General features: G+C 43.1%; 6 annotated features.

Moving 5' to 3' along the window:
* Window positions 627-1826: an enhancer, noted in NCBI's record as "P300/CBP strongly-dependent group 1 enhancer chr5:43335752-43336951 (GRCh37/hg19 assembly coordinates)". NCBI's record gives its function as "activates an origin of replication core promoter dependent on BRD2, BRD4, P300/CBP, MED14 and CDK7 cofactors, with strong dependence on P300/CBP, by STARR-seq in HCT116 cells {active_cell/tissue: HCT116}" and the evidence as "EXISTENCE:reporter gene assay evidence [ECO:0000049][PMID:35650434]".
* Window positions 16294-16622: a transcriptional cis regulatory region, noted in NCBI's record as "candidate enhancer chr5.1234 targeted for multiplex CRISPR interference". NCBI's record gives its function as "positively regulates HMGCS1 gene expression with high confidence in K562 cells {active_cell/tissue: K562}" and the evidence as "EXISTENCE:mutant phenotype evidence [ECO:0000015][PMID:30612741]".
* Window positions 21343-22542: an enhancer, noted in NCBI's record as "MED14-independent group 3 enhancer chr5:43315036-43316235 (GRCh37/hg19 assembly coordinates)". NCBI's record gives its function as "activates an origin of replication core promoter dependent on BRD2, BRD4, P300/CBP and CDK7 cofactors, and independent of MED14, by STARR-seq in HCT116 cells {active_cell/tissue: HCT116}" and the evidence as "EXISTENCE:reporter gene assay evidence [ECO:0000049][PMID:35650434]".
* Window positions 22637-23151: an enhancer, noted in NCBI's record as "H3K27ac hESC enhancer chr5:43314427-43314941 (GRCh37/hg19 assembly coordinates)". NCBI's record gives its function as "activates a minimal SCP1, AML or CMV promoter by ChIP-STARR-seq in naive H9 embryonic stem cells {active_cell/tissue: H9 hESC(naive)}" and the evidence as "EXISTENCE:reporter gene assay evidence [ECO:0000049][PMID:30033119]".
* Window positions 23152-23668: an enhancer, noted in NCBI's record as "H3K27ac hESC enhancer chr5:43313910-43314426 (GRCh37/hg19 assembly coordinates)". NCBI's record gives its function as "activates a minimal SCP1, AML or CMV promoter by ChIP-STARR-seq in naive H9 embryonic stem cells {active_cell/tissue: H9 hESC(naive)}" and the evidence as "EXISTENCE:reporter gene assay evidence [ECO:0000049][PMID:30033119]".
* Window positions 23675-23904: an enhancer, noted in NCBI's record as "active region_22537". NCBI's record gives its function as "activates an Ori minimal core promoter by ATAC-STARR-seq in GM12878 lymphoblastoid cells {active_cell/tissue: GM12878}" and the evidence as "EXISTENCE:reporter gene assay evidence [ECO:0000049][PMID:35858748]".

Here is a 24040-nt window from a genome sequence, read left to right as displayed (position 1 = left end):
CCATTATTTAGTGAGATAGAGGCTGTGAAGTGTAGACTCCTTACAAAAAAATAAAGATTGGTGCCTTTTTACTTTTTGCTTTTGAGTTGTAGTATGAAACCCAGCCCCTTGCTGTTATTTTTTTCCTCTCCTTCCCTCTCTTCCACTCTTTAGACTATGCACTCTTTGAGGACAGTCTATATCTTCCAATTATGCAATCCTATTTTCTAGCACAGAAAGGAGCCATAAATGTGAGCTACATGTATAATTTCACATTTTCTAATAGCCACATTTAAAACCTCTTAAGAAACAGATAAATTTAATTTTAACAAAATATTTAACCCAGTATAGCTAAAATATTATCATTATAATGTAATCAATATAAAAATTATTAATGACATAATTTTTTTTATCAAGTCTTTAAAATCTGGTGTATATTTTACATTGACAACACATCTCACTTTGGGCTAGCCACCTTTCCAGTGCTCAATAGCTACGTGTAGCTAGTTCTTAACCTTATTGGACAGCAGAGGTCACACACAAGCACCTCCATAGAGGTATAGCATCTATAACGCTTAACCAATAATATATTTGGCATTAAATTTAGAAACAATACATAAAAAATATCTTTTAACATGTCTTAAAATGCAGATTCAGGTATGACATTGGCTTTACTGTGCTTGTGTGAAATCATGGCTCAAAAAACTAGCAGTCCCTTGTATAGTAAATATATGTATACTTTGCCCTAAATTGCATGGGCCATAGCTGACATTTGTGTAGCCTGTTATAATCTACTATTATATATTAATATTTCATAGAATCCAGAGACTGCTTTTTTTAATTCAACTGAGATTGTTAAATATGAATTCTAAATTTCTCTTCAAAGAATTAATATGTCTGTATGTTCAATTCTTTGCCTTCTACTTTTAAACGTAACTTCCTCGTAAAGCAACCTTTTCTGCTTACCTACAGCAACCTGACTCATTCTCCACCTTGACTCATTCTGATTACCTACTCCACCCTGACTCATTCTCCACCCTGACTCATTCTGATTCATTCTCCATCCTGTCTCATTTCATCATCATTTTTCCCCCCAAACCACTCACCCCATCACTCTCTTTAACTTAGTCAATCAGAATTAGTTTAGCCTGTGTGGTCTAACCCTAGCCAATAGGGGAACCACACAGGAGTAGGGACCACATGCGTCAGGAATAAGAACCCCTTTCCCTCCCTTGTTGAGTATGCACTCACCATTGCTCCATCTGTAAGGGCACACCTTTCTGTAGAAGTACTTTGCCTTGCTGAGAATTAAAAAGAAAATTTTATATTTGAGTATTATTTCTTTTGCGGCACTGAACCTTTATTTATAACAATTTGGGGGCTCATCTGGGATTACATTCCCCTCTGGGGATGGTCTCTGGTTCTCTTTCATGAGGAGGTGTGCACCCTGCCCCTTGTGGCAGCCTCAGGGGTGAGAAATCAGAACCTACCCAGTGCAAGGAATAACCCAAGCTCTCAGCAACGTGAAAAAAAATGAACTGGCCAGCAACCTAGTTTAAAGGATCCTCACATACTGCAGCAATGACTCTGTGCACAGACCAAGGAAGGAGAAGTCGTGGGAGCCGGTAAAGTATTTCCTTGGTGGTTGGGACCAAGAAAACCGCAGCAGGGATGGTGAAGTACTCCTTGGTCAGGGTGGCTTAGAGGTTAAAAAGAGGTGAGACATCCCTACTGGGGGGGATTGAACCTCACACAAACCTCCAGTAGTAGAATAGGCAAGAGATTTACAGTGGGGGAAATTGAGCCTCACCCCAAAAAGGCAAGAAATTTCCAGTGGGGGAAATTGAGCTTCACCCCAAAAGGCAAGAAATTTACAGCTGGAGAAATTAAGCCTCACCCCAAAAGGTGAGAAAATTCCAGTAAGGCAAATTGAACCTTGAACGTTACCCCAAAACCATCAAGATGGGATATACCCTCAAGCAAGACAGGGAGCAAGGGGGACAAAGATGGTAACAAAGATATTCCCCCGGATAGCCCCCTAGGTCTCATGCGAAAACACTGGAAAGATAATGAAAGGTCTAAACATAGGAAAAAGCAACAAATGATAAAATATTACTGTTTTATTTGGACTCAGGGGCCCATCCTCAAACCCTCAATCTTCTTGCCAAAGTTTGGGTCGAATGAGGATGTAATGTGTCAGCTTCTAATCTGATATGTTAATGATAAAAGTCCAGTATCTCAAGAAGAACTAGGCTATGCCCTTTGTTGGAGGCAAGGACCTGCCCTCCTTTCTCCCTTAAAAACAAATAAGGAAGAACCCAATCTGGCACCTCAAAATGAAAAGTCAGAGGAGCCAGCTCTCATGCATAAAGACTCCAGCACATGGGATCCCCTAGACTACCTTCCCCTGTTCAGTGTCCCCAATCTTTCCCCTCAGACAGCCACTGCTGCCTCAGATCCTGTTCCAAATTCCCCCTCTACTCATGTTATCCCTCCTCCTTATAACCCTGACTCTTGGTAATTACCATCCCACCAGCCTGTTCCCTCCCAATCTAAATACCCCTCTCTAAAAGGACTCCAGCATGAGGTAGAACAATATAAAAAAGATATTCAGAATTTCCCATTTCCCTCTGTACCTAAGAGGTCAGCCCCGACCTTCTTCCCTTTGAAAGAGGTACCACAAGGAGGGGGGGCCGTTGGCTTTGTAAATGCTCCCTTAACCAGTTCAGAAGTCTGGAATTTTTAAAAGGAGCTTAAACCACTACTAGATAACCCTTATGGAGTGGCAGACCAAATTGACCAATTCTTAGGACCTCAGTTATATACCTGGGTCGAGTTAATGTTCATCTTGGGCATCCTCTTTTCAGGGGAAGAAAGGAGTATAATTCTTAGGGCTGCTATGGTAGTTTGGGAATGTGAGGACCCTCCCAGTGAAAATGTTCCTACCACGGACGAGAAATTCCCTGCCCGAGACCCCTGGTGGGACAATAACAATGCAGATCACCAGGAAAATATGCAGGACCTAAGGGAGATGATAATAAAAGGAATTTGGGAATCAGTACCCCAAACCCAAAATCTTTCTAAAGCACTTGATATATAACAGGAAAAGGATGAAGTGCCTGTGAGATGCCTAGACAGACTGAGGGAGTAAATGAGGCAATCTGCAGGCCTCAGTTTGGATGATCCCCTTGGGCAAGGAATGTCAAAACTCCAATTTGTCACTAAAAGTTGGCCAGACATTTCAAAAAAGTTACGAAAGATAGACAATTGGGAAGACTGCCCCCTAAATGAGTTTCTCAGGGAAGCTCAGAAAGTATACATGAAAAAGGATGAAGAAAAACAGAAAGAAAAGACAAAACTTAGGTTTTCACCTTCCAACAGATGGCTCCAAACCCAGGTACTTCTAGACAGAGCTTCCAGGGAGCCAGAAACTATAAAGGGTCCGAACCTCTTTTAAAGGATCCCAGCCTCCATCTGGAGGATAAAGGTCCTTGTCTACCAGCCCCCCTAAAGAGTATGGGGGAGCAAGGTTAAAGAATCCCAGAATTAAGGGGAGGAAGCACAAGATAGGTGCTATAGATGTGGAAGAACAGGCCACTTCAAGAGATGTCCTGAACTAAGAAAGGAGAAAGAAGCCCTTCCACTCATGACTTTCAAGGAAGAATAGGGGGCTCAGGGGCTCTGTCTCTTTTATCTTGAGTCCCACCAGGAGCCCTTGATAAATTTGGAGGTGGGACCTAAACATGAGCTTATCATCTTTTTAGTTGATTCAGGGGCTGCTCGCTCCTCTATTTGTTTCCTCCCATCTAATGTTGTCTCCTCCTCAGAGGAACTTTTAGTCTCTGGGGTTAAAGGGGAAGGATGTAGAGCAAAAATATTATAAAGCACAGAAGTTAGATACCAGGATCACTCAACTTATATTCAGTTCTTGTTAATCCCTGAAGCAGGAATTAATTTACTGGGGAAGGATTTAATGCTAAAGTTGGGCATAGGTCTACAAGTCAGCCCAAGAGGATTCCTCACCTCATTAAACTTACTCACTGTCAGGCTTCTGAGCCAAAGTTCAGCCATTGTAATCCCGGTAACCTGCACATATACATCCAGGTGGCCTGCAGGAGCCAAGAAGTCTGGGGCAACCCAAAACTACAAAAGAAGTGAAACAGCCAGCTCCTGTCTTAACTGATTGACCAACCTTACGACATTCCATTATGACTTGTTCCTGCCCTGTCCCAACTGATCGATCGACCTCATGACATTCTTCTTCTGGAAAATGATTCTCATGATCTCCCCACCATGCAGCTTGTGACCCCCTCCTCTGCTGACAATAGATAACCACCTTTAACTGTAACTTTCCACTGCTTACCCCAGTCCTATAAAACTACCCCACCCCATCTCCCTTTGCTGATGCTCTTTCTGGACTCAGTCCACTTGCCCCCAAGTGAAATACAGCCTTGTTGCTCACACAAAGCCTGTTGGTGGACTCTCTTCACACAGACATGCTTGACATTTAGTGCCATGACTCAGATTGGGGTACCTCCCTTGGGAGATCAATCCCCTGTCTTCCTGCTCTTTGCTCCGTGAGAACATCCACCTATGACCTCAGGTCTTCAGACTGGCCCAAGAAACACCTCACCAACTTTAAGTCAGGTAAGCGGCCTCTTTTTACTCTCTTCTCCAACCTCTCTCACTATCCCTCAACCTCTTTCTCCTTTCATTTTTAGCACCACCCTTCAATCTCTCCCTTCCCTTAATTTCAGTTCCTTTCCTTTTCTGGTAGAGATAGAGGAGACACATTTTATCTGTGAACCCAAAACTCTGGTTCTAGTCATGGACTCAGGAAGACAGTCTTCCCTTGGTGTCTAATCACTGTGGGGATGCCTGCCTGATTATTCACCATCATTCCAGAGGTGTTCGATCACCACAGGGATGCCTGCCTTGATCCTCCACTTTGGTGGCAAGGACTACCTCCTCTGGGTGACAAGTACCATCCCCCTCTCTCCATGTCTCTACTCCCCTTTTCCCTAAACTTAACTTTTTACTATAGGCAACCTTCTGCCCTCCATTCCTCCTTCTTCCCCCTTAGCCTGTGTTCTTAAAAACTTGAAACCTCTTCAACTCTCACCTGATCTAAAACCTAAGCATCTTCTTTTCTTCTGCAACACCGTTTGGCCCCAATACAAACTTGATAATGGCTCTAAATGGCCAGAAAACAGCACTTTTGATTTCTTCATCCTACAAGATCTAGATAATTTTGTCAAAAAATGGGTAAATGATCTGAGGTGCCTGATGTCCAGACATTTCTTTTACACCTTGGTCCCTCCCTAGTCTCTGCTCCCAATGCAACTCATCCCAAATCTTTCTTCTTTCTCTCCTGTCTGTTCCTTCAGTCTCCACCCCAAGCTCTGAGTCCTTTAAATCCTCCTTTTCTACGGACCCATCCGACCTCTCCCCTCCTTCCCGGGCTGCTCCTTGCCAGGCCAAGCCAGGTCCCAATTCTTCCTCAACCTCCGCTCCCCCACCCTATAATCCTTCTATCACCTCCCCTCCTCACACCCGGTCTGGCTTACAGTTTCGTTCCATGACTAGCCATCCCCCACCTGCCCAACAATTTCCTCTTAGAGAGGTGGCTGGAGCTGAAGGCATAGTCAAAGTTAATGCTCCTTTTTCTTCATCTGACCTCTCCCAAATCAGTTAGAATTTAGGCTCTATTTCATAAAATATAAAAACCCAGCCCAGTTCATGGCCCATTTGGCAACAACCCCTTAGATGCTTTACTGTCCTAGACCCAGAGAGGCCAGAAGGCTGTCTTATTCTCAATATGCATTTTATTATTCAATCTGCTCCTGACATTAGAAAAAGCTCCAAAAATTGGATTCTGGCCCTCAAACTCCACAACAGGACTTCATTAACCTCACCTTCAATGTATACAATAATAAAAAAAAAAGGCAGCCAAACGGTAACATATTTCTGAGTTGCAATTATGTGCCTCTGCTGTGAGAGAAATCCCAGCTACATCTCCAGCACACAAGAACTTCAAAACACCTAAACTGCAGTGGTCAGGCATTCCTCAAGGATCTCCTCCTCAAGGATCTTGCTTCAAGTGCCAAAAATCTGGCCACTGGGCCAAGGAATGCCCGCAGCCCAGGATTCCTCCTAAGCCAAGTCCCATCTTTGTGGGACCCCATTGGAAATTGGACTGTCCAACTCACCCAGCAGCCACTCCCAGAGTCCCTGGAACTCTAGCTCAAGGCTCTCTGACTGACTCTTTCTCAGATCTTCTCGGCTTAGCGGCTGAAGATTACTACTGCCTGATCGCCTCAGAAGCCTTCTGGATCATCACAGACACTTTGGGTAACTCTTACAGTGGAGGGTAAGTCCGTCATCTCCTTCTTAATCAATACGGAGGCTACCCACTCCACATTACCTTCTTTTCAAGAGCCTGTTTCCCTTGCCTCCACAACTGTTCTGGGTATTGACGGCCAGGCTTCTAAACCTCTTAAAACTCCCCAACTTTGGTGCCAACTTGGACAACATTCTTTTATGCACTCCTTTTTAGTTATCCTCACGTGCCCAGTTCCCTTATTAGGTGGAAATGTTTTAACAAAATTATCCACTACCCTGATTATTCCTGGACTACAGCCACATCTCATTGCTGCCCTTCTTCCCAACCCAAAGCCTCCTTCACATCTTCCTCTTGTATCCCCCAACCTTAACCCACAGGTATGGGACACCTTTACTCCCTCCCTGGCAACTGATCACATGCCCATTACTATCCCGTTAAAACCTAATTACCCTTACCCGACTCAATGCCAGTATCCCATCCCACAGCATGCTTTAAGGGGGTTAAAGCCTGTTATCACTCGCCTACTACAGCATGGGCTTCTAAAGCCTACAAAATCTCCTTACAATTCCCCCATTTTACTGTCCAAAACCCAGACAAGTCTTATAGGTTTGTTCAGGATCTGCACCTTATCAACCAAATTGTTTTGCCTATCCACCCTGTGGTGCCCAACCCGTACACTATTCTGTCCTCAATACCTCCATCCACAACTCACTATTCCATTCTTGATCTTAATATGCTTTTTCACTATTCCCCTGCACCCCTGATCTCAGCCTCTCTTTGCTTTCACCTGGATTGACCCTGATACCCATCAGTCCCAGAAGCTTACCTCGGCTGTACTGCCACAAGGCTTCCAGGACAGCCCTCATTACTTCAGCCAAGCTTTTTCTCATGATTTACTTTCTTTCCACCCCTCTGCTTCTCACCTTATTCAATATATTGATGACCTTCTACTCTGTAGTATCTCCTTTGAGTCTTCTCAACAACATACCCTCCTGCTCCTTCAACATTTATTCTCCAAAGGATATTGCATATCTCCCTCCAAAGCCCAAATTTCTTCCTCATCCATTACATATCTCAGCATAATTCTTCATAAAAACACATGTGCTCTCCCTGCTGATCATGTCCAGCTAATCTCCCAAACCGCAACCCCTTCTACAAAGCAACAACTCCTTTCTTCCCTAGGCATGGTTAGGTACTTTCGCCTTTGGATAGCTGGTTTTGCCATCCTGACTAAACCATTACATAATTTCACAAAATAAAACCTAGCTGACCACATAGATCCTAAATCCTTTCCCCACTCCTCTTTCCATTCCTTAAAAACAGCCCTAGAAGCTGCTCCCACACTAGCTCTCCCTAACTCATCCCAACCCTTTTTCATTACACACAGTCGAAGTGCAGGGCTGTGCGGTCGGAATTCTTACACAAGAGCTGGGACCATGCCCTGTAGCCTTTCTATCCAAACAACTTGACCTTACTGTTTTAGGCTGGCCCCCACATTATTCCTGATACCACACCTGACCCCCATGACTGTATCTCTCTGATCCACCTGACATTCACTCCATTTCCCCATATTTCTTTATTTCCTGTTCCTCACCCCGATCACACTTGGTTTATTGATGGCAGTTCCACCAGGCCTAATCGCCACTCACCAGCAAAGGCAGGCTATGCTGTAGTATCTTCCACATCTATCATTGAGGCTACCACTCTGCCCCCCTCCACTACCTCTCAGCAAGCCAAACTCATTGCCCTAACTTGGGCCTTCACTCCTGCAAAGGGACTATGCATCAATATTTATACTGATGCAAAAGCCATCAAAGGGCCTCAGACCCCATTGCTCAAGGCAACAATTATGCTGATAAGACAGCTAAAGGAGCAACCAGTATTCCTACTTCTGTCCCTCATGGCCAGCTTTTCTCCTTCTCATCAGTCACATCTACTTACTCTTCCACAGAAGTTTCCACCTATCAATCCCTCCCCACTCAAGGCAAATGGTTCTTAGACCAAGGAAAATATCTCCTTCCAGCTTCACAGAATCATTCCATTCTATCGTCCTTTCATAACCTCTTCCATGTAAGTTACAGCCACTAGCCCATCTCTTAAAACTTCTCATTTCCTTTAAGACATTACCCTGCATTAAGGTCCTTTCCAAGATGGCTGAATAGAAACAGCTCCAGTCTGCAGCTCCCATCGTGATTGATACAGAAGATGGTATGATTTCTGCATTTCCAACTGAGGTACCTTGTTCATCTCACTGGGACTGGTTGGACAGTGGGTGCAGCCCACGGAGGGTGAGCCAAAGCAGGGCGGGGCATTTCCTCACCCGGGAAGCACGAGGGGTTGGGGGATTTCCATTTCTTAGCGAAGGGAGGCCGTGACAGACTGTACCTGGAAAATCGGGACATTGCCACCCAAATACTGCGCTTTTCCAAAGGTCTTAGAAAAGGGCACACCAGGAGATTATATTCCGCACCTGGCACAGCGGGTCCCATGCTCACAGAGCCTTGGTCACTGCTAGCGCAGCAGTCCGAAATTGAACTGCGAGGCGGTAGCCTGGCTGGGGGAGGATTATCCGCAATTGCTGAGTCTTGAGTAGGTAAACAAAGCAGCCAGGAAGCTCAAACTGGGTGGAGCCCACTGCAGTTCAAGGAGGCCTGCCTGCCTCTGTAGACTCCACCTCCGGGGGCAGGGCATAGCTGAACAAAAGGCAGCAGAAACTTCTACAGACTTAAACATCCCTGTCTGACAGCTCTGAAGAGAGCAGTGGTTCTCCCAGCATGGTGTTTGAGCTCTGAGAACGGACAGACTACCTCCTCAAGTGGGTCCTTGACCCCCGAGTAGCCTAACTGGGAGACACCTCCCAGTAGGGGCTGACTGACACCTCATATAGCCAGGTGCCCCTCTGAGATGAAGCTTCCAGAGGAAGGATCAGGCAGCAATATTTGCTGTTCTGCAGCCTCCGCTGGTGATACCCAGGCAAACAGGGTCTGGAGTGGACCTCCAGCAAACTCCAACAGACCTGCAGGTGAGGGACCTGACTGTTAGAAGGAAAACTAACAAACAGAAAGGAATAGCATCAACAGCAACAAAAAGGACATCCACACCAAAACCCCATCTGTAGGTAACCATCATCACAGACCAAAGGTAGATAAAACCACAAAGATGGGGAGAAACGAGAGCAGAAAAACTGATAATTGTAAAAACCAGAGGACCCTTCTCCTCCAAAGGATCACAGCTCATCTTCAGCAATGGAACAAAGCTGCACAGAGAATGACTTTGATGAGTTGACAGAAGTAGGCTTCAGAAGGTCAGTAATAACAAACTTCTCTGAGCTAAAGGAGGGTGTTTGAACCCATCGCAAGGAAGCTAAAAACCTTGAAAAAAGATTAGACTAATGGCTAACTAGAAGAAACAGTGTAGAGAAGACCTTAAATGACCTGATGGAGCTGAAAACCATGGCATGAGAACTATGTGACACATGCACAAGCTTCAGTAACTGATTCGATCAAGTGGAAGAAAGGGTATCAGTGATTGAAGATCAAATTAATGAAATGAAGCAAGAAGAGAAGTTTAGAGAAAAAAGAATAAAAAGATACAAACAAAGCCTCCAAGAAATATGGGACTATGTGAAAAGACCAAATCTATGTCTGATTGGTGTACCTGAAAGTGACAGAGAGAATGGAACCAAGTTGGAAAACACTCTGCAGGATATTATCCAGGAGAACTTCCCCAACCTAGCAAGGCAGGCCAACATTCAAATTCAGGAAATGCAGAGAACACCACAAAGATACTCCTTAAGAAGAGCAACCACAAGATGCATAATTGTCAGATTCACCAAAGTTGAAATGAAGGAAAAAATGTTAAGGGCAGCCAGAGAGAAAGGTCAGGTTACCCATACAGGGAAGCCCGTCAGACTAACAGCTGATCTCTTGGCAGAAACTCTATAAGCCAGAAGAGAGTGGGGGCCAATATTCAACATTCTTAAAGAAAAGAATTTTCAACCCAGTATTTCATATCCAGCCAAACTAAGCTTCATAAGTGAAGGAGAAATAAAATCTTTTACAGACAAACAAATGCTGAGATTTTGTCACCACCAGGCCTGCCTTACAAGAGCTCTTGAAGGAAGCACTAAACATGGAAAGGAACAACTGGAAACAGCCACTGCAAAACCATGCCAAATTGTAAAGACCATCAAGGCTAGGAAGAAACTGCATCGACTAACGGGCAAAACAACCAGCTAATATTATAATGACAGGATCAAATTCACACATAATATTAACCTTAAATGTAAATGGGCTAAATGCCCCAATTAAAAGAAACAACACTGGCAAATTGGATAAAGAGTCAAGACCCATCAGTGTGCTGTATTCAGGAGACCCATCTCACGTGCAGAGACACACATAGGCTCAAAATAAAGGCACAGAGGAAGATCTACCAAGCAAACGGAAAGCAAAAAAAAGCAGGGGTTGCAATCCTAGTCTCTGATAAAACAGACTTTAAACCAACAAAGATCAAAAGAGACAAGGAAGGCCATTACATAACAAGAAGAGCTAACTATCCTAAATATATGTGCACCCAATACAGGAGCACCCAGATTCATAAAGCAAGTCCTTAGAGACCTACAAAGAGACTTAGACTCCCACACAATAATAATAGGAGACTTTAACACCCCACTGTCAATATTAGACACATCAACAAGACAGAAGGTTAACAAGGATATCCAAGACTTGAACTCAGCTCTGCACCAAGCTGACCTAATAGACATCTACAGAACTCTCCACCCCAAGTCAACAGAATAGACATTCTTCTCAGCACCACATTGCACTTATTCCAAAATTGACCACACAGTTGGAAGTAAAGCACTCCTCAGCAAATGTAAAAGAACAGAAATCAAAACAAACTGTCTCTCAGACCACAGTGCAATCAAACTAGAACTCAGGATTAAGACACTCACTCAAAACTGTTCAACTACATGGAAACTGAACAACCTGCTCCTGAATGACTACTGGGTACATAACGAAATGAAGGCAGAAATAAAGATGTTCTTTGAAACCAATGAGACCATAGACACAACATACCAGAATCTCTGGGACACATGTAAAGCAGTGTGTAGAGGGAAATTTATAGCACTAAATGCCCACAAGAGAAAGCAGGAAAGATCTAAAATTGACACCCTAACATTACAATTAAAAGAACTAGAGAAGCAACAGCAAACACATTCAAAAGCTAGCAGAAGGCAAGAAATAACTAAGATCAGAGCAGAACTGAAGGAAATACAGACACAAAAAACCCTTCAAAAAATCAATGAATCCAGGAGTTGGTTTTTTGAAAAGATCAGCAAAATTGATAGACTGCTGGCAAGACTAATAAAGAAGAAAAGAGAGAAGAATCAAATAGATGCAATAAAAAATGATAAAGGGGATATCACCACTGATCCCTCAGAAATACAAACTACCATCAGAGAATACTATAAACACCTCTATGCAAATAAAGTAGAAAATCTAGAAGAAATGGAGAAATTTCTGCACACATACACCCTCCCTAGACTAAACCAGGAAGAAGCTGAGTCCCTGAATAGACCAATAACAGACTCTGAAATTGAGGCAATAATTAATACCCTACCAACCAAAAAAAAGTCCAGGACCAGATGGATTCACAGCGGAATTCTACCAGAGGTACAAAGAGGAGCTGATACCATTCCTTCTGAAACTATTCCAATCAATAGAAAAAGAGGGAATCCTCCCTAACTCATTTTATGAGGCCAGCATTATCCTGATACCAAAGCCTGGCAGAGACACAACAAAAAAAGAGAATTTTAGACCAACATCCCTGATGAACATCAATGCAAAAATCCTCAATAAAATACTGGCAAACTGAATCCAGCAGCACATCAAAAAGCTTATCCACCACCATCAAGTTGGCTTCATCCTTGGGATACAAGGCTGGTTCAACATACACAAATCAATAAACGTAATCCGTGACATAAACAGAACCAAAGGCAAAATCCATATGATTATCTCAATAGATGCAGACAAGGCTTTCGACAAAATTCAACAGCCCTTCATGCTAAAAACTCTCAATAAACTAGGTAGTGATGGAACGTATCTCAAAATACTAAGAGCTATTTATGACAGACCCATAGCCAATATCATACTGAATGGGCAAAAACTGGAAGCATTCCCTTTGAAAACTGCCACAAGACAGAGATGCCCTCTCTCACCACTCATATTCAACATAGTGTTGGAAGTTCTGGCCAGGGCAGTCAGGCAAGAGAAAGAAATAAAGGGTATTCAATTAGGAAATGAGTAAGTAAAATTGTCTCTGTTTGCAGATGACATGATTATATATTTAGAAAACCCCATCGTCTCAGCCGAAAATCTCCTTAACTTGATAAGCAACTTCAGCAAAGTCTCAGGATACAAAATCAATGTACAAAAATCACAAGCATTTCCATACACCAATAACAGACAGAGAGCCAAATCATGAGTGAACTCCCATTCACAATTGCTACAATGTGAATAAAATACCTAGGAATCCAACTTACAAGGGATGTGAAGGACTTCTTCAAGGAGAACTACAAACCACTGCTCAATGAAATAAAAGAGGACAGAAACAAATGGAAGATCATTCCATGCTCATGGATAGGAAGAATCAATATCGTGAAAATGGCCATACTGCCCAAGGTAATTTATAGATTCAAGGCCATCCCCATCAGGCTATCAATGACTTTCTTCACAAAATTGGAAAAAACTACTTTAAAGTTCATATGGAACCAAAAAAGAGCCCGCATTGCCAAGACAAGTGTAAACAAAAAGAACAAAGCTGGAGGCATTATGCTACCTGACTTCAAACTATACTACACAGCTACAGTAACCAAAGCAGCACGGTACAGGTATCGAAACAGAGAGATAGACCAATGGAACAGAACAGAGGCCTCAGAAATAACACTACACATCTACAACCATCTGATCTTTGACAAACCTGACAAAAACAAGAAATGGGATAAGGATTCCCTATTTAATAAATGGTGCTGGAAAAACTGGCTAGCCATATGTAGAAAGCTGAAACTGGATACCTTCCTTACACCTTATATGAAAATTAATTCAAGATGGATTAAAGACTTAAATGTCACACCTAAAACCATAAAAACCCTAGAAGAAAATCTAGGCAATACCATTCAGGACATAAGCATGGGCAAGGACTTCATGACTAAAACACCAAAAGCAATGGCAACAAAAGCCAAAATTGACAAATGGGATCTAATTAAACTAAAGAGCTTCTGCATGGCAAAAGAAACTACCATCAGAGTGAACAGGCAACCTACAGAATGGGAGAAAATTTTTGCAATCTACCCATCTGACAAAGGGCTAATATCCAGAACCTACAAAGAACTTAAACAAATTTACAAGAAAAAAAAACCCCCATCAAAAAGTGGGCAAAAGATATGAACAGACACTTCTCAAAAGAAGACATTTATGCAGCCAACAGACACAAGAAAAAATGCTCATCGTCACTGGCCATCAGAGAAACACATATCAAAACCACAATGAGATACCATCTCACACCAGTTAGAATGACGATCATTAAAAAGTCAGGAAACAACAGATGCTGGAGAGGATGTGGAGAAATAGGGACGCTTTTACACTGTTGGTGGGAGTGTAAATTGGTTCAACAATTGTGGTAGATAGTGTGGCAATTCCTCAAGGATCTAGAACTAGAAATACCGTTTGACCCAGCCATCCCATTACTGGGTATATACCCAAAGGGTTATAAGTCATGCTACTATAAAGACACATGCACATGTATGTTTATTGCGGCACTATTCACAATAGCAAAGACTTGGAACCAACCCAAATGTCCATCAATGATAGACTGGATTAAGAAAATGTGTCACATATACACCATGGAATACTATGCAGCCATAAAACATGATGAGTTCATGTCCTTTGTAGGGACATGGATGAAGCTGGAAACCATCATTCTCAGCAAACTATCGCAAGGACAGAAAACCAAGTACCGCATATTCTCACTCATATGTGGGAAGTGAACAATGAGAACACTTGGACACAGGGTGGGGAACATCACATACCGGGGCCTGACTTGGGGTGGGGGGATGGGGGAGGGATAGCATTAGGAGAAATACCTAATGTAAATGACGAGTTAATGGGTGCAGCAAACAAACATGGCACATGTATACATATGTAACAAACCTGCACGTTGTGCACATGTACCCTAGAACTTAAAGTATAATAATTAAAATATATGTATATATATTTTAAAGAAAAGAAAAATAAATACAGATCTAACCTAGATTAATGAAAAAAAAAAAAAGACATTTACTGTGCATTTCACTCCATCCTTGGCTACCTTTCCCTTGTTCTTCAGACTATCCTCCCAGGCCCTCTTCTTATTTACTTATATCCAGCCCCGTAAATAACAGTGAAAGTTTGCTCGTAGACACTCGACTTTCTCATACATCATGAGAATCGAATCTCCCCGTCTACACAGTTACCCCATCAGTCCCCATTACAACCTCTGACGGCTGCCGCCCTAGCTGGAGCCTTAGGAGTCTGGGTACAAGACACCTCTTTTACTACTCCTTCTCATCTTTTCACTTTGCATTTCCAATTTTGCCTTGCAGAAGTCCTCTTCTTCTTCTGTGTCTCCTCCATCTACATGTGTCTACCTGCTAATTGGACAGGTAAATGTACACTAGTTTTTCTTATTCCCAACATTCAATTTGCAAATGGGACCGAACAACTTCCTGTCCCCCTCATGACACCAACCAGACAGAGAAGAGTTATTCCTCTAACCCCTCTACTTGTACGGTTAGGACTTTCTGCTTCTACTATTGCCCTTGGAGCCGGAATAGCAGGCATTTCAACTTCTGTCACAACCTTCCGTAGCCTTTCTAATTACTTTTCTACTTTTCTACTAGCATTACAATATCACAAACTTTATCAGTCCTTCAGGCCCAGGTTGACTCCTTAGCCGCAGTTGTCCTCCAAAATCGCTGAGGCCTTGACCTACTCACTGCTGAAAATGGAGGACTGTATATTTTTAAATGAAGAATGTTGTTTTTATCTAAACCAATCCGGCCTGGCATATGACAACATGAAAAACTTAAAGATAACTCGCCAGCCAGGAAAATAATTATGCTGGACCCACCTGCAGACTTTCTAACTGGGTGTCTTGGCTCCTGCCTATTCTTAGTCCCCTGGTACCTGTTTTTCTCCTTCTCTTATTCGGTCCTTGCATCTTCCATTTGGTTTCTCAATTCATACAAAACCACATCCAGACCATCACCAATAATTCTATATGACAAATGCCACTTTTAACAACCCCATGGTACCATCCTCTGCCCCAAGATCTCCGCACAGCCTAAATTTCTATTCCTTGTAACTCATTGTAAAATTTTCTTTTTTTTTCCTTTTTAAATTTTATTATTATTATACTTTAAGTTTTAGGGTACATGTGCACAACGTGCAGGTTAGTTACATATGTATACATGTGCCATGTTGATGTGCTGCACCCATTAACTCGTCATTTAACATTAGATATATCTCCTAATGCTATCCCTCCCCCCTCCCCCCACCCCACAACAGGCCCCGGTGTGTGATATTCCCCTTCCTGTGTCCGTGTGTTCTCATTGTTCAATTCCCACCTATGAGTGAGAACATGCGGTGTTTGGTTTTTTGTCCTTGCGATAGTTTGCTGAAAAATTTTCTTTAAGGTGTCCGTGCAGTCCCTGGTCACGTTAAAGCAGTCCCAAGAAACATCACTCCAACCCCAATAATCCCCAATAAAACTTATATTTTCTTTATCTTTTCTTATAACTTTATATTTTATAAATAAAAAGACAGGAATGTCAGGTCTCTGAGCCGAAGCTCAGCCATTGTAACCCCTGTGATCTGCACATATACGTCCAGGTGGCCTGCAGGAGCCAAGAAGTCTAGGGCAACCCAAAACTACAGAAGAAGTGAAACAGCCAGCTCCTGTCTTAACTGATTGACCAACCTTACAATATTCCATTATGACTTGTTCCTGCCCTGCCCCAACAGATCAATCAATCTCGTGACATTCTTCTTCGGGACAATGAGTCTTATGATCTCCCCACCATGCACCTTGTGACCCCCTCTTCTGCTGACAATAGATAACCACCTTTAACTGTAACTTTCCACTGTTTAACCCAGTCCTATAAAACTGCCCCATGCCTATCTCCCTTTGCTGACTCTCTTTTCGGACTCAGCCCACTTGCCCCCAAGTGACAAAGACAGCCTTGTTGCTCACACAAAGCCTGTTGGTGGACTCTCTTCACACGGACGCACTTGACACTCACCACTGCAGATGAAAAATATATTAATCCTAATGTCTCGTCCAAAGAAGGAAACCAAGGGAAACTCCAAGTCCCTCTGATCCACATCAAGCTAAAAACCCTGGGAGAAGTAGTAAGAAGGAAGCAGTACCCTATTCCCCTAGAAGGTGGGATAGGGTTGAAACCTATAATCGAAGGCCTTATTAAGGATGGGCTTCTTGAGCCCTGTATGTCCCCTTATAACCCCCCAATACTGCCAGTAAAGAAATGAGACGGGTCATATCAGCTAGCACAGGACCTTGGAGCTATCAACCAAATAGTCCAGACTACCCACCCTGTTGTCCCCAGTCCTTATACCATTCTTAGCAAGATTCCATATATCATCAATGGTTTACTGTAATAGATTTGAAAGATGCTTTTTTGGGTATGGTCCCTGACTGAAGATAGCTGAGATATATTTGCTTTTGAGTGAGAGGATCCCCACTCAGGGCAGAAACAACAATATCGATGGACAGTCTTGCTCCAAGGGTTCACAGACTCCCCTAATCTTTTTGGCCAAATTTTAGAACAAGTACTAGAAAAAGTTGTCATCCCAGAACAAATATGCCTTCTCCAGTAAGTGGACATCATTCTTATATCTGGTGAAGATAGCGAGAAAGTAACTGACTTCTCTACACATATGCTTAACCATCTGCAGTTTGAGGGGCTACAAGTACCAAAAAGAAAGCTTCAGCATGTACAGCCGAAAGTTAAATATTTAGGCCACTTAATAAGTGCAGGCAAGCCAAGAATAGGGCCTAAACGAATCGAGGGAATTGTGTCCCTACCCTTGCCTCAAACAAACAAGAACTCAGGAAAATTTTAGGGTTAGTCAGATACTGCCACTTATTAAGCACTGCACAGTAAACTGTTATATCAAAAACTTGCCCAGGAGAAGCCTAACCGTCTCCTGTGGACTTCTGAGGAAGTTGATCAAGTCGAGAAGCTGAAGGAAAGAAAGGCTCATAACTGCCTGTTTTAGCCTTACCCTCCCTAGAAAAGCCATTCCACCTTTTTGTTAATGTGTACAGTGGGGTAGCTTTAGGAGTGCTGACTCAAGAACACAGATGCCACCGGCAGCCCGTAGCCTTCCTATCAAAGGTCTTAGACCCAGTCACTCGTGGATGGCCTCAATGCATCCAGTCCATCGTGGCTATGGCAATACTAGTCGGGGAAAGCAGAAAGTTAACCTTTGGAGGAAAATTGACAGTAAGCACGCCTCACCGAGTTAGAACTACCAGAGAGCAGGGAGATGGCCTACTGAATAAAGAATCTTAAAGCATGAGGCCATTCTGTTAGAAAAGGATGATTTAACATTGACTACTGATAATTCACTCAACCCAGCAGGTTTCTTAACAAGGAATCCACATCTAAGGGGGGAACACACATGTTTAGATTTAATTGATTACCATACAAAGGTTCAACCAGACCTAGAAGAAACCCCCTTCTGGACTGGATGGCACTTATTCATAGATGGTTCTTCCGGGGTGATTGAGGGAAAAAGACACAGTAGGTATTCAGTGATTGATGGAGAAACTCTCATAGAAATAGAATCAGGAAAATTGCCCAACAGTTCGTCTGCTCAAACGTGTGAGCTGCTTGCACTCAGCCAAGCCTTAAAGTACTTACAGAACCAGGAAGGAACCATCTATACAGATTCCAGGTATGCCTTTGGAGTGACCCATATGTTTTGGAAAATTTGGACTGAACTAGGTCTCATCAATAGTAAAGGTCAAGACCTTGTTCACAAGGAGCTGATCACCCAAGTATTGAATAATTTTCGGTTGCCAGAAGAAATAGCTATTGTCCATGTTCCCAGACACCAGAAAATTCTTTCTTTTGAAAGTCGAGGAAATAACCTAGCAGATCAGGTAGACAAGCAGGCTGCTGTGTCTTTTGAATGTGTATTTTTCACTTAACTCCCTACCTCCCTCCTCCTACCATAATCCCCATTTTCTCTTCCACCAAAAAAGAGAAAGTAATAAAAATAGGTGCTAAAGAGAATTCAGAAGGAAAGTGGATACTGCCAGACCAGAGAGAAACGTTATCTAAACCCCTTATGAGGGAAGTCTTATCCCAACTACATCAGGGGACCCACTGGGGGCCCCAGGCCACATGTGATGCCATTCTCAGAGTTTATGGTTGTATAGGAATTTATACCCTGGCCAAACAGGTTACAGATAGTTGCTTAGTATGTAAGAAAACTAATAGACATACTACAAAAATATTACCACTCGGGGGAAGGAATCCAGGCTTAAAGCCATTCGAAAGTATCCAAGTTGATTACAAAGAAATGCCTCCAACAGGTCGTCTGAAATATTTACTAGTGATAGTAGACCACCTCACTCACCAGGTCGAAGTTATTCCCTTTTCAAATGCAACAGCCAATAATGCAGTTAAGGCCCTAATTGAAAATATAGTACCCAGGTTTGGACTAATAGAAAATATTGACTCAGACAATGGAACTCATTTCACCACACACATTATTAAAAAGCTATCCCAAACATTAGATATTAGATGGGAATACCATACTCCCTGACACCCATCCTCATTAGGGAGAGTAGAAAGAATGAATCAGACTCTAAAGAACCACTTAACCAAATTAGTCTTAGAGACTCGATTGCCATGGACCAAGTGTCTTCCTATTGCCCTGCTGAGAATTTGAACTGCACCACGGAAAGACATTGGTCTTTCTCCTTATGAGATGTTCTATGGATTACCTTATTTGCACTCTACTGCTGATATTCCTACCTTTGAAACAAAAGATCAATTCCTTAAAAATTATATGCTTGGTCTAGCTTCTACTTTCTCTTCTCTTAAAACTAAAGGTCTATTAGCACAGGTGCCGCCCTTGGAGTTCCCGGTGCATCAACATCAGCCTGGGGATCACGTCCTCATCAAGAGCTGGAAAGAGGAGATGCTTGAGCCAGTCTGGGAAGGTCCTTACTTAGTGCTCCTAACTACTGAAACTGCAGTCCGCACAGCAGAGAGAGGATGGACTTACCACACCCGGGTCAAGAAAGTGCCACCCCCTCCAGAGTAGTGGCCATAGTCCCAGGGGAAAACCCTACCAAACTAAAGCTAAGAAGAATTTAACTCTCTTTCATCTATTCTATTAACTTTCTTCTTTCCTCGTTCTATCGCTGATCATCTAGTTATTAACATAACCAAGTCAATTTCGCCTCAAACTATTGCATTTGATGCTTGCCTTGTTATACTGTGTGGGGATTTGTAAAGTCAAAGGCAGCTCTCTACTTCAGAAAAGTACCTCTGTCCCTCCTGGCTCTCCTCATACTGGGCATTAGTGAATTGGGACCATTTAATTCGGGGAGATTTTGATAAAGACCCCAGTGGCAACCAGGAGTCTTGCCCCCACCGACACAGAGCTTTTATGCTGTAGTTGGTCCAACGTTCTGTGGACCACCAAAGAGCAAGGATGGACTGCCCTGACCAGTTTTTGTAATTTCCTAAAACCACACATTCATTTTACTAAACGGACAGCCCCCAATAACTGTCAGCTAAACCAGTGCAATCCTATATAGGTTATTATCTTGAGCCCCCAAAGTTCTTCCCCTTTTCTAAGCCAGTTCCCTTCTTTAAGCCGATTTTATGGCATGTGGGCTAGATGTCAGGGACAGACCCTATTGGATCCTTGAAATGCATTTCTTTGATCCCCTGCCACCTGCACCTGCCTTTAAGCCTTTTTCCAAAACCTCTCACAACGGAACCATTGTTCCTCCTCCATCTACCGACAAGGCCAAGATAGCGATGGTAGAAGTTAAAGACTTAAAACAAACTTTGGCAACTGAGACAGGATACCAAGATATAAATGCCTGGGTGGAATGTATCAAATATTCCATCCACACATTAAACAAAAGCAATTGTTATGCTTGTGCACATAGCAGGCCAGAGGCCCAGATTGTCCCCTTTCCACTAAGGTGGTCCTCCAGTCGACTCGGCATGGGCTGCATGGTAGCTGTTTTCCAGGATTCTACAGCCTGGGGTAACAAGTCGTGCCAAGCTCTCTCTCTACTATATCCCGAAGTCTGACACCCTGTGGGTCGCCCCCAAGGGCCATTCAGCTTCCATCTCCCAACACCAAGTTCACTTCGTGTGTCTCACAACAGGAAGGAAACTTAGCATTCCTTGGAGACCTGGAGGGATGAAGTAAGCTTAAGAATTTTTAAGAGCTTACCAGTCAGCCCTTGTTCATCCCTGAGTGGATGTGTGGTGGTATTGTGGTGGACCTTTACTAGACACTCTGCTGAATAACTGGAGTGACACTTGTGCTTTAGTCCAGTTGGCTATCCCTTTCACCTTGGCATTTTATCAACCAGAGGAAGGAAAAATAAGACATCATAAAGCGAGAGAAGCCCCTTATGGGTCTTTCGACTCTCACGTCTATTTAGATGCAGTTGGAGTCCCACAGGGAATACGAGATCAATTTAAAGCCCGAAATCAAATAGCTGCAGGATTTGAGTCAATATTTTGGTGGGTGACAATTAATAAAAATGCAGATTGGTTAAACGACATCTATTACAACCAACAGTGATGTATTAACTACACTAGAGATGCTGTTAAAGGAATAGCTGAGCAATTAGGGGCTATTAGCCAGATGGCTTGGGAAAATAGGATAGCCTTAGACATGATATTAGCAGAAAGAAGATGAGTTTGCGTTATGATTAAAACTCAATGTTGCACCTTCATCCCAAACAACGCCACCCCTAATGGAAGTATAACAAAGGCATTGTGAGGTCTGACTGCTCTATCCAATGAGTTAGCCAGCAACTCACGGGTAAATGATCCCTTTACAGGATGGCTAGAAAAGTGGTTCGGTAAATGGAAAGGAATAATAGCCCCAATTCTTACCTCCCTCATAGTCATAATAGGTGTACTTATTCTTGTCAGGTGCTGTGTCATACCATGCATCTGTGGGTTGGTGCAGAGGCTCATAGAAACGGTACTTACTAAAACCTCCCTTAACTATCCTCCACCTCATCCAGAAAAGCTTCTTCTTTTGGAAAATCAAGCAGAACAACTAAATCAAGACATGTTAAATAAGTTTGAAGAGAAAGCTGTAAGAAAAATGCAAGAGGAGGAAGTTGTTAAATATGAATTCTAAATTTCTCTTCAAAGAATTAATATGTCAGTATGTTCCATTCTTTGCCTTCTACTTTTAAACGTAGCTTCCTAGTAAAGCAACCTTTTCTGATTACCTACTCCAACCTGACTCATTCTCCACCTTGACTCATTCTGATTACGTACTCCACCTTGACTCATTCCAATTCATTCTTCACCCTGACTCATTTCATAACCATTTTTCCCGCCATCACTGTCTTTAAATTAGTCCATCGGAATTAGTTTAGCCTGTGCAGTCTAACCCTAGCCAATAAGGGAACGACACAGCAGTGGGGACCACGTGCGTCAGGAATAAGAACCCCTTTCCCTCCCTCGTCCAAGTGTGCACTCACCATTGCTCCATCTGTAAGGGTGCACCCTTCTATAGAAGTACCTTGCCTTGCTGAGAATTAAAAAGAAAATTTTATATTCGACTGCTATTTCTTTTGCAGCATGGAAACTTTATTTATAACAAGATCTTCTGTATCTAATTACTAACCCTTTTTGTTCTCCATTGCTTGGCTTCCCAGTAATCAATAATCATGCTCACTTTGCTTAATTGAAGATTAACGTGATCAAAAAGACGGTCTGTTCCTTGTAGAAATTTCCGGTTGTGTAAGATGGTCATTCTCATGACCGTCTGGCTAATCATTTCCCATTATGTACTCCTGGAGTTGGAATTATTTGCGATTCCTAACGACAAAACTGTATCTTCTTTCTTGTGTTTGTCCTTACTGCCTTTCAGCATATTCCAATATGCCAAGAATTTTAATCTCCTACCCCACCCCAAATTGCTGTTGATCATAATCAGGCAATGTCTCTCTCTCTGTTTACTATCTAGTTACTTTACATACATATGAAGTGAGTCATGGGCAATACTGTGGAATGGAAATCATTACTGAGTGGTCCTCTTCCCCCAAGTCATTTATGCCACCACTTCACAGTGGTTCCATTTCCAATATATTTTGCCACTTTGCTGCTGAGAATGTGTCTTACTAGGTTAGCATCTATAGTGGTTAAAAGAATCTCCCATAACAATAATTGTGTGAATCACAGAATTACCAATGACCCCTTATCAATAGCATTCCTGTTAATTAAATTGAGATGGGGAGAGATACAAACAACTCCGAACCTCACTCATGGTCCCCCACCAAAGCTAAGTATTATGGCTTCTCTCTCTGACCAGATAGAGGCAGAGTTTATTGCAAAGCCACAAGTGTCCTCCTTTGGATTCCCCCAAATAGTGTTTCAGTGAATTCCTCTAGCTTGAATTGCTCCTCTCTATTTGCTGGGGGAGTTAGGCAGTCCGTATCCGATGGATTTACTATGCCGACAATTACGTGGCCTTTCCACAGCCTTTTACTTGGCAGGTACCACATATGAAGCTTAGAAGATACAGTGGGCAACAGGCCAAATGGAGTCCCTTTCCTCAGAGTGCATGGCCTGGCAAAAATCCTTGAATTCAGTATCAACTTCCCTTCACAGGCAAGGCTCTGCACCCTCCCCACGGATGCCTAATCCTGAAACCATTTTGTTTTAGGTTTAGTTAGAAAGCTTTGTCTCAAGAGCACTTTTGTTTGTTCTGTTTTCTTTAAGTCAAGGTAGTTTTGAATAAAGGAGACAATATTTGAGTATTTACAAATCGGGTATTTAGACTATTTACACATATACAAGTTCTGGGTGAAGTATTCTGCTCCAATTTGCAATCTACGCACACTTTGCTAGAAAACGTTAAGACTGAATTCAAATCAAGTACAGTATTTCAGAAATCTTTCAGGTGAAGCCTAGTTCTGGTTGCTAGGCAACCTGACAGACTCCCAAGCTGGGACCACCTCGCCTCCCACATTTGACCATCTCTCCAGCGGTGGGACGCGGAGTACCCATTGGCCCGCATCTCCTCTCACTTAGTCCCAATTGGTCGGAGAACCTCTCACTCCGCTCCCGTTGGCTCTCGCCGTATCTCGCAGCTCCGTCATTGGCAACTGGGCTCTCGTGCCACCTCACGTCAGTCTCTCACACCACTTCCTCGGCCCTGAGACTTTGTCCCCGCCTCTTCTCCCCGCCCTTCCAGCCACGAGGGAAAATCCTAGCGAGTCATCGCCTCTAGTTTCCTTTTGATTGGTAGAAGCCGGACTGGGGGGCGGGCGCTGCCGGGCAACTCTACCGGCCGCGATTGGCTGTGGGAGCCACCGTCCCGCCTCCCAGCGACTCTCGGCGGTGCCGGAGTCGGGTGGGTTGGCGGCTATAAA

Source organism: Homo sapiens, chromosome 5, assembly GCF_000001405.40.
Source record: "Homo sapiens chromosome 5, GRCh38.p14 Primary Assembly".
Lineage (NCBI taxonomy): Eukaryota > Metazoa > Chordata > Mammalia > Primates > Hominidae > Homo > Homo sapiens.
Note: the sequence above shows the minus strand (reverse complement) of the source record. Positions and strands in the feature narration are given on the sequence as shown.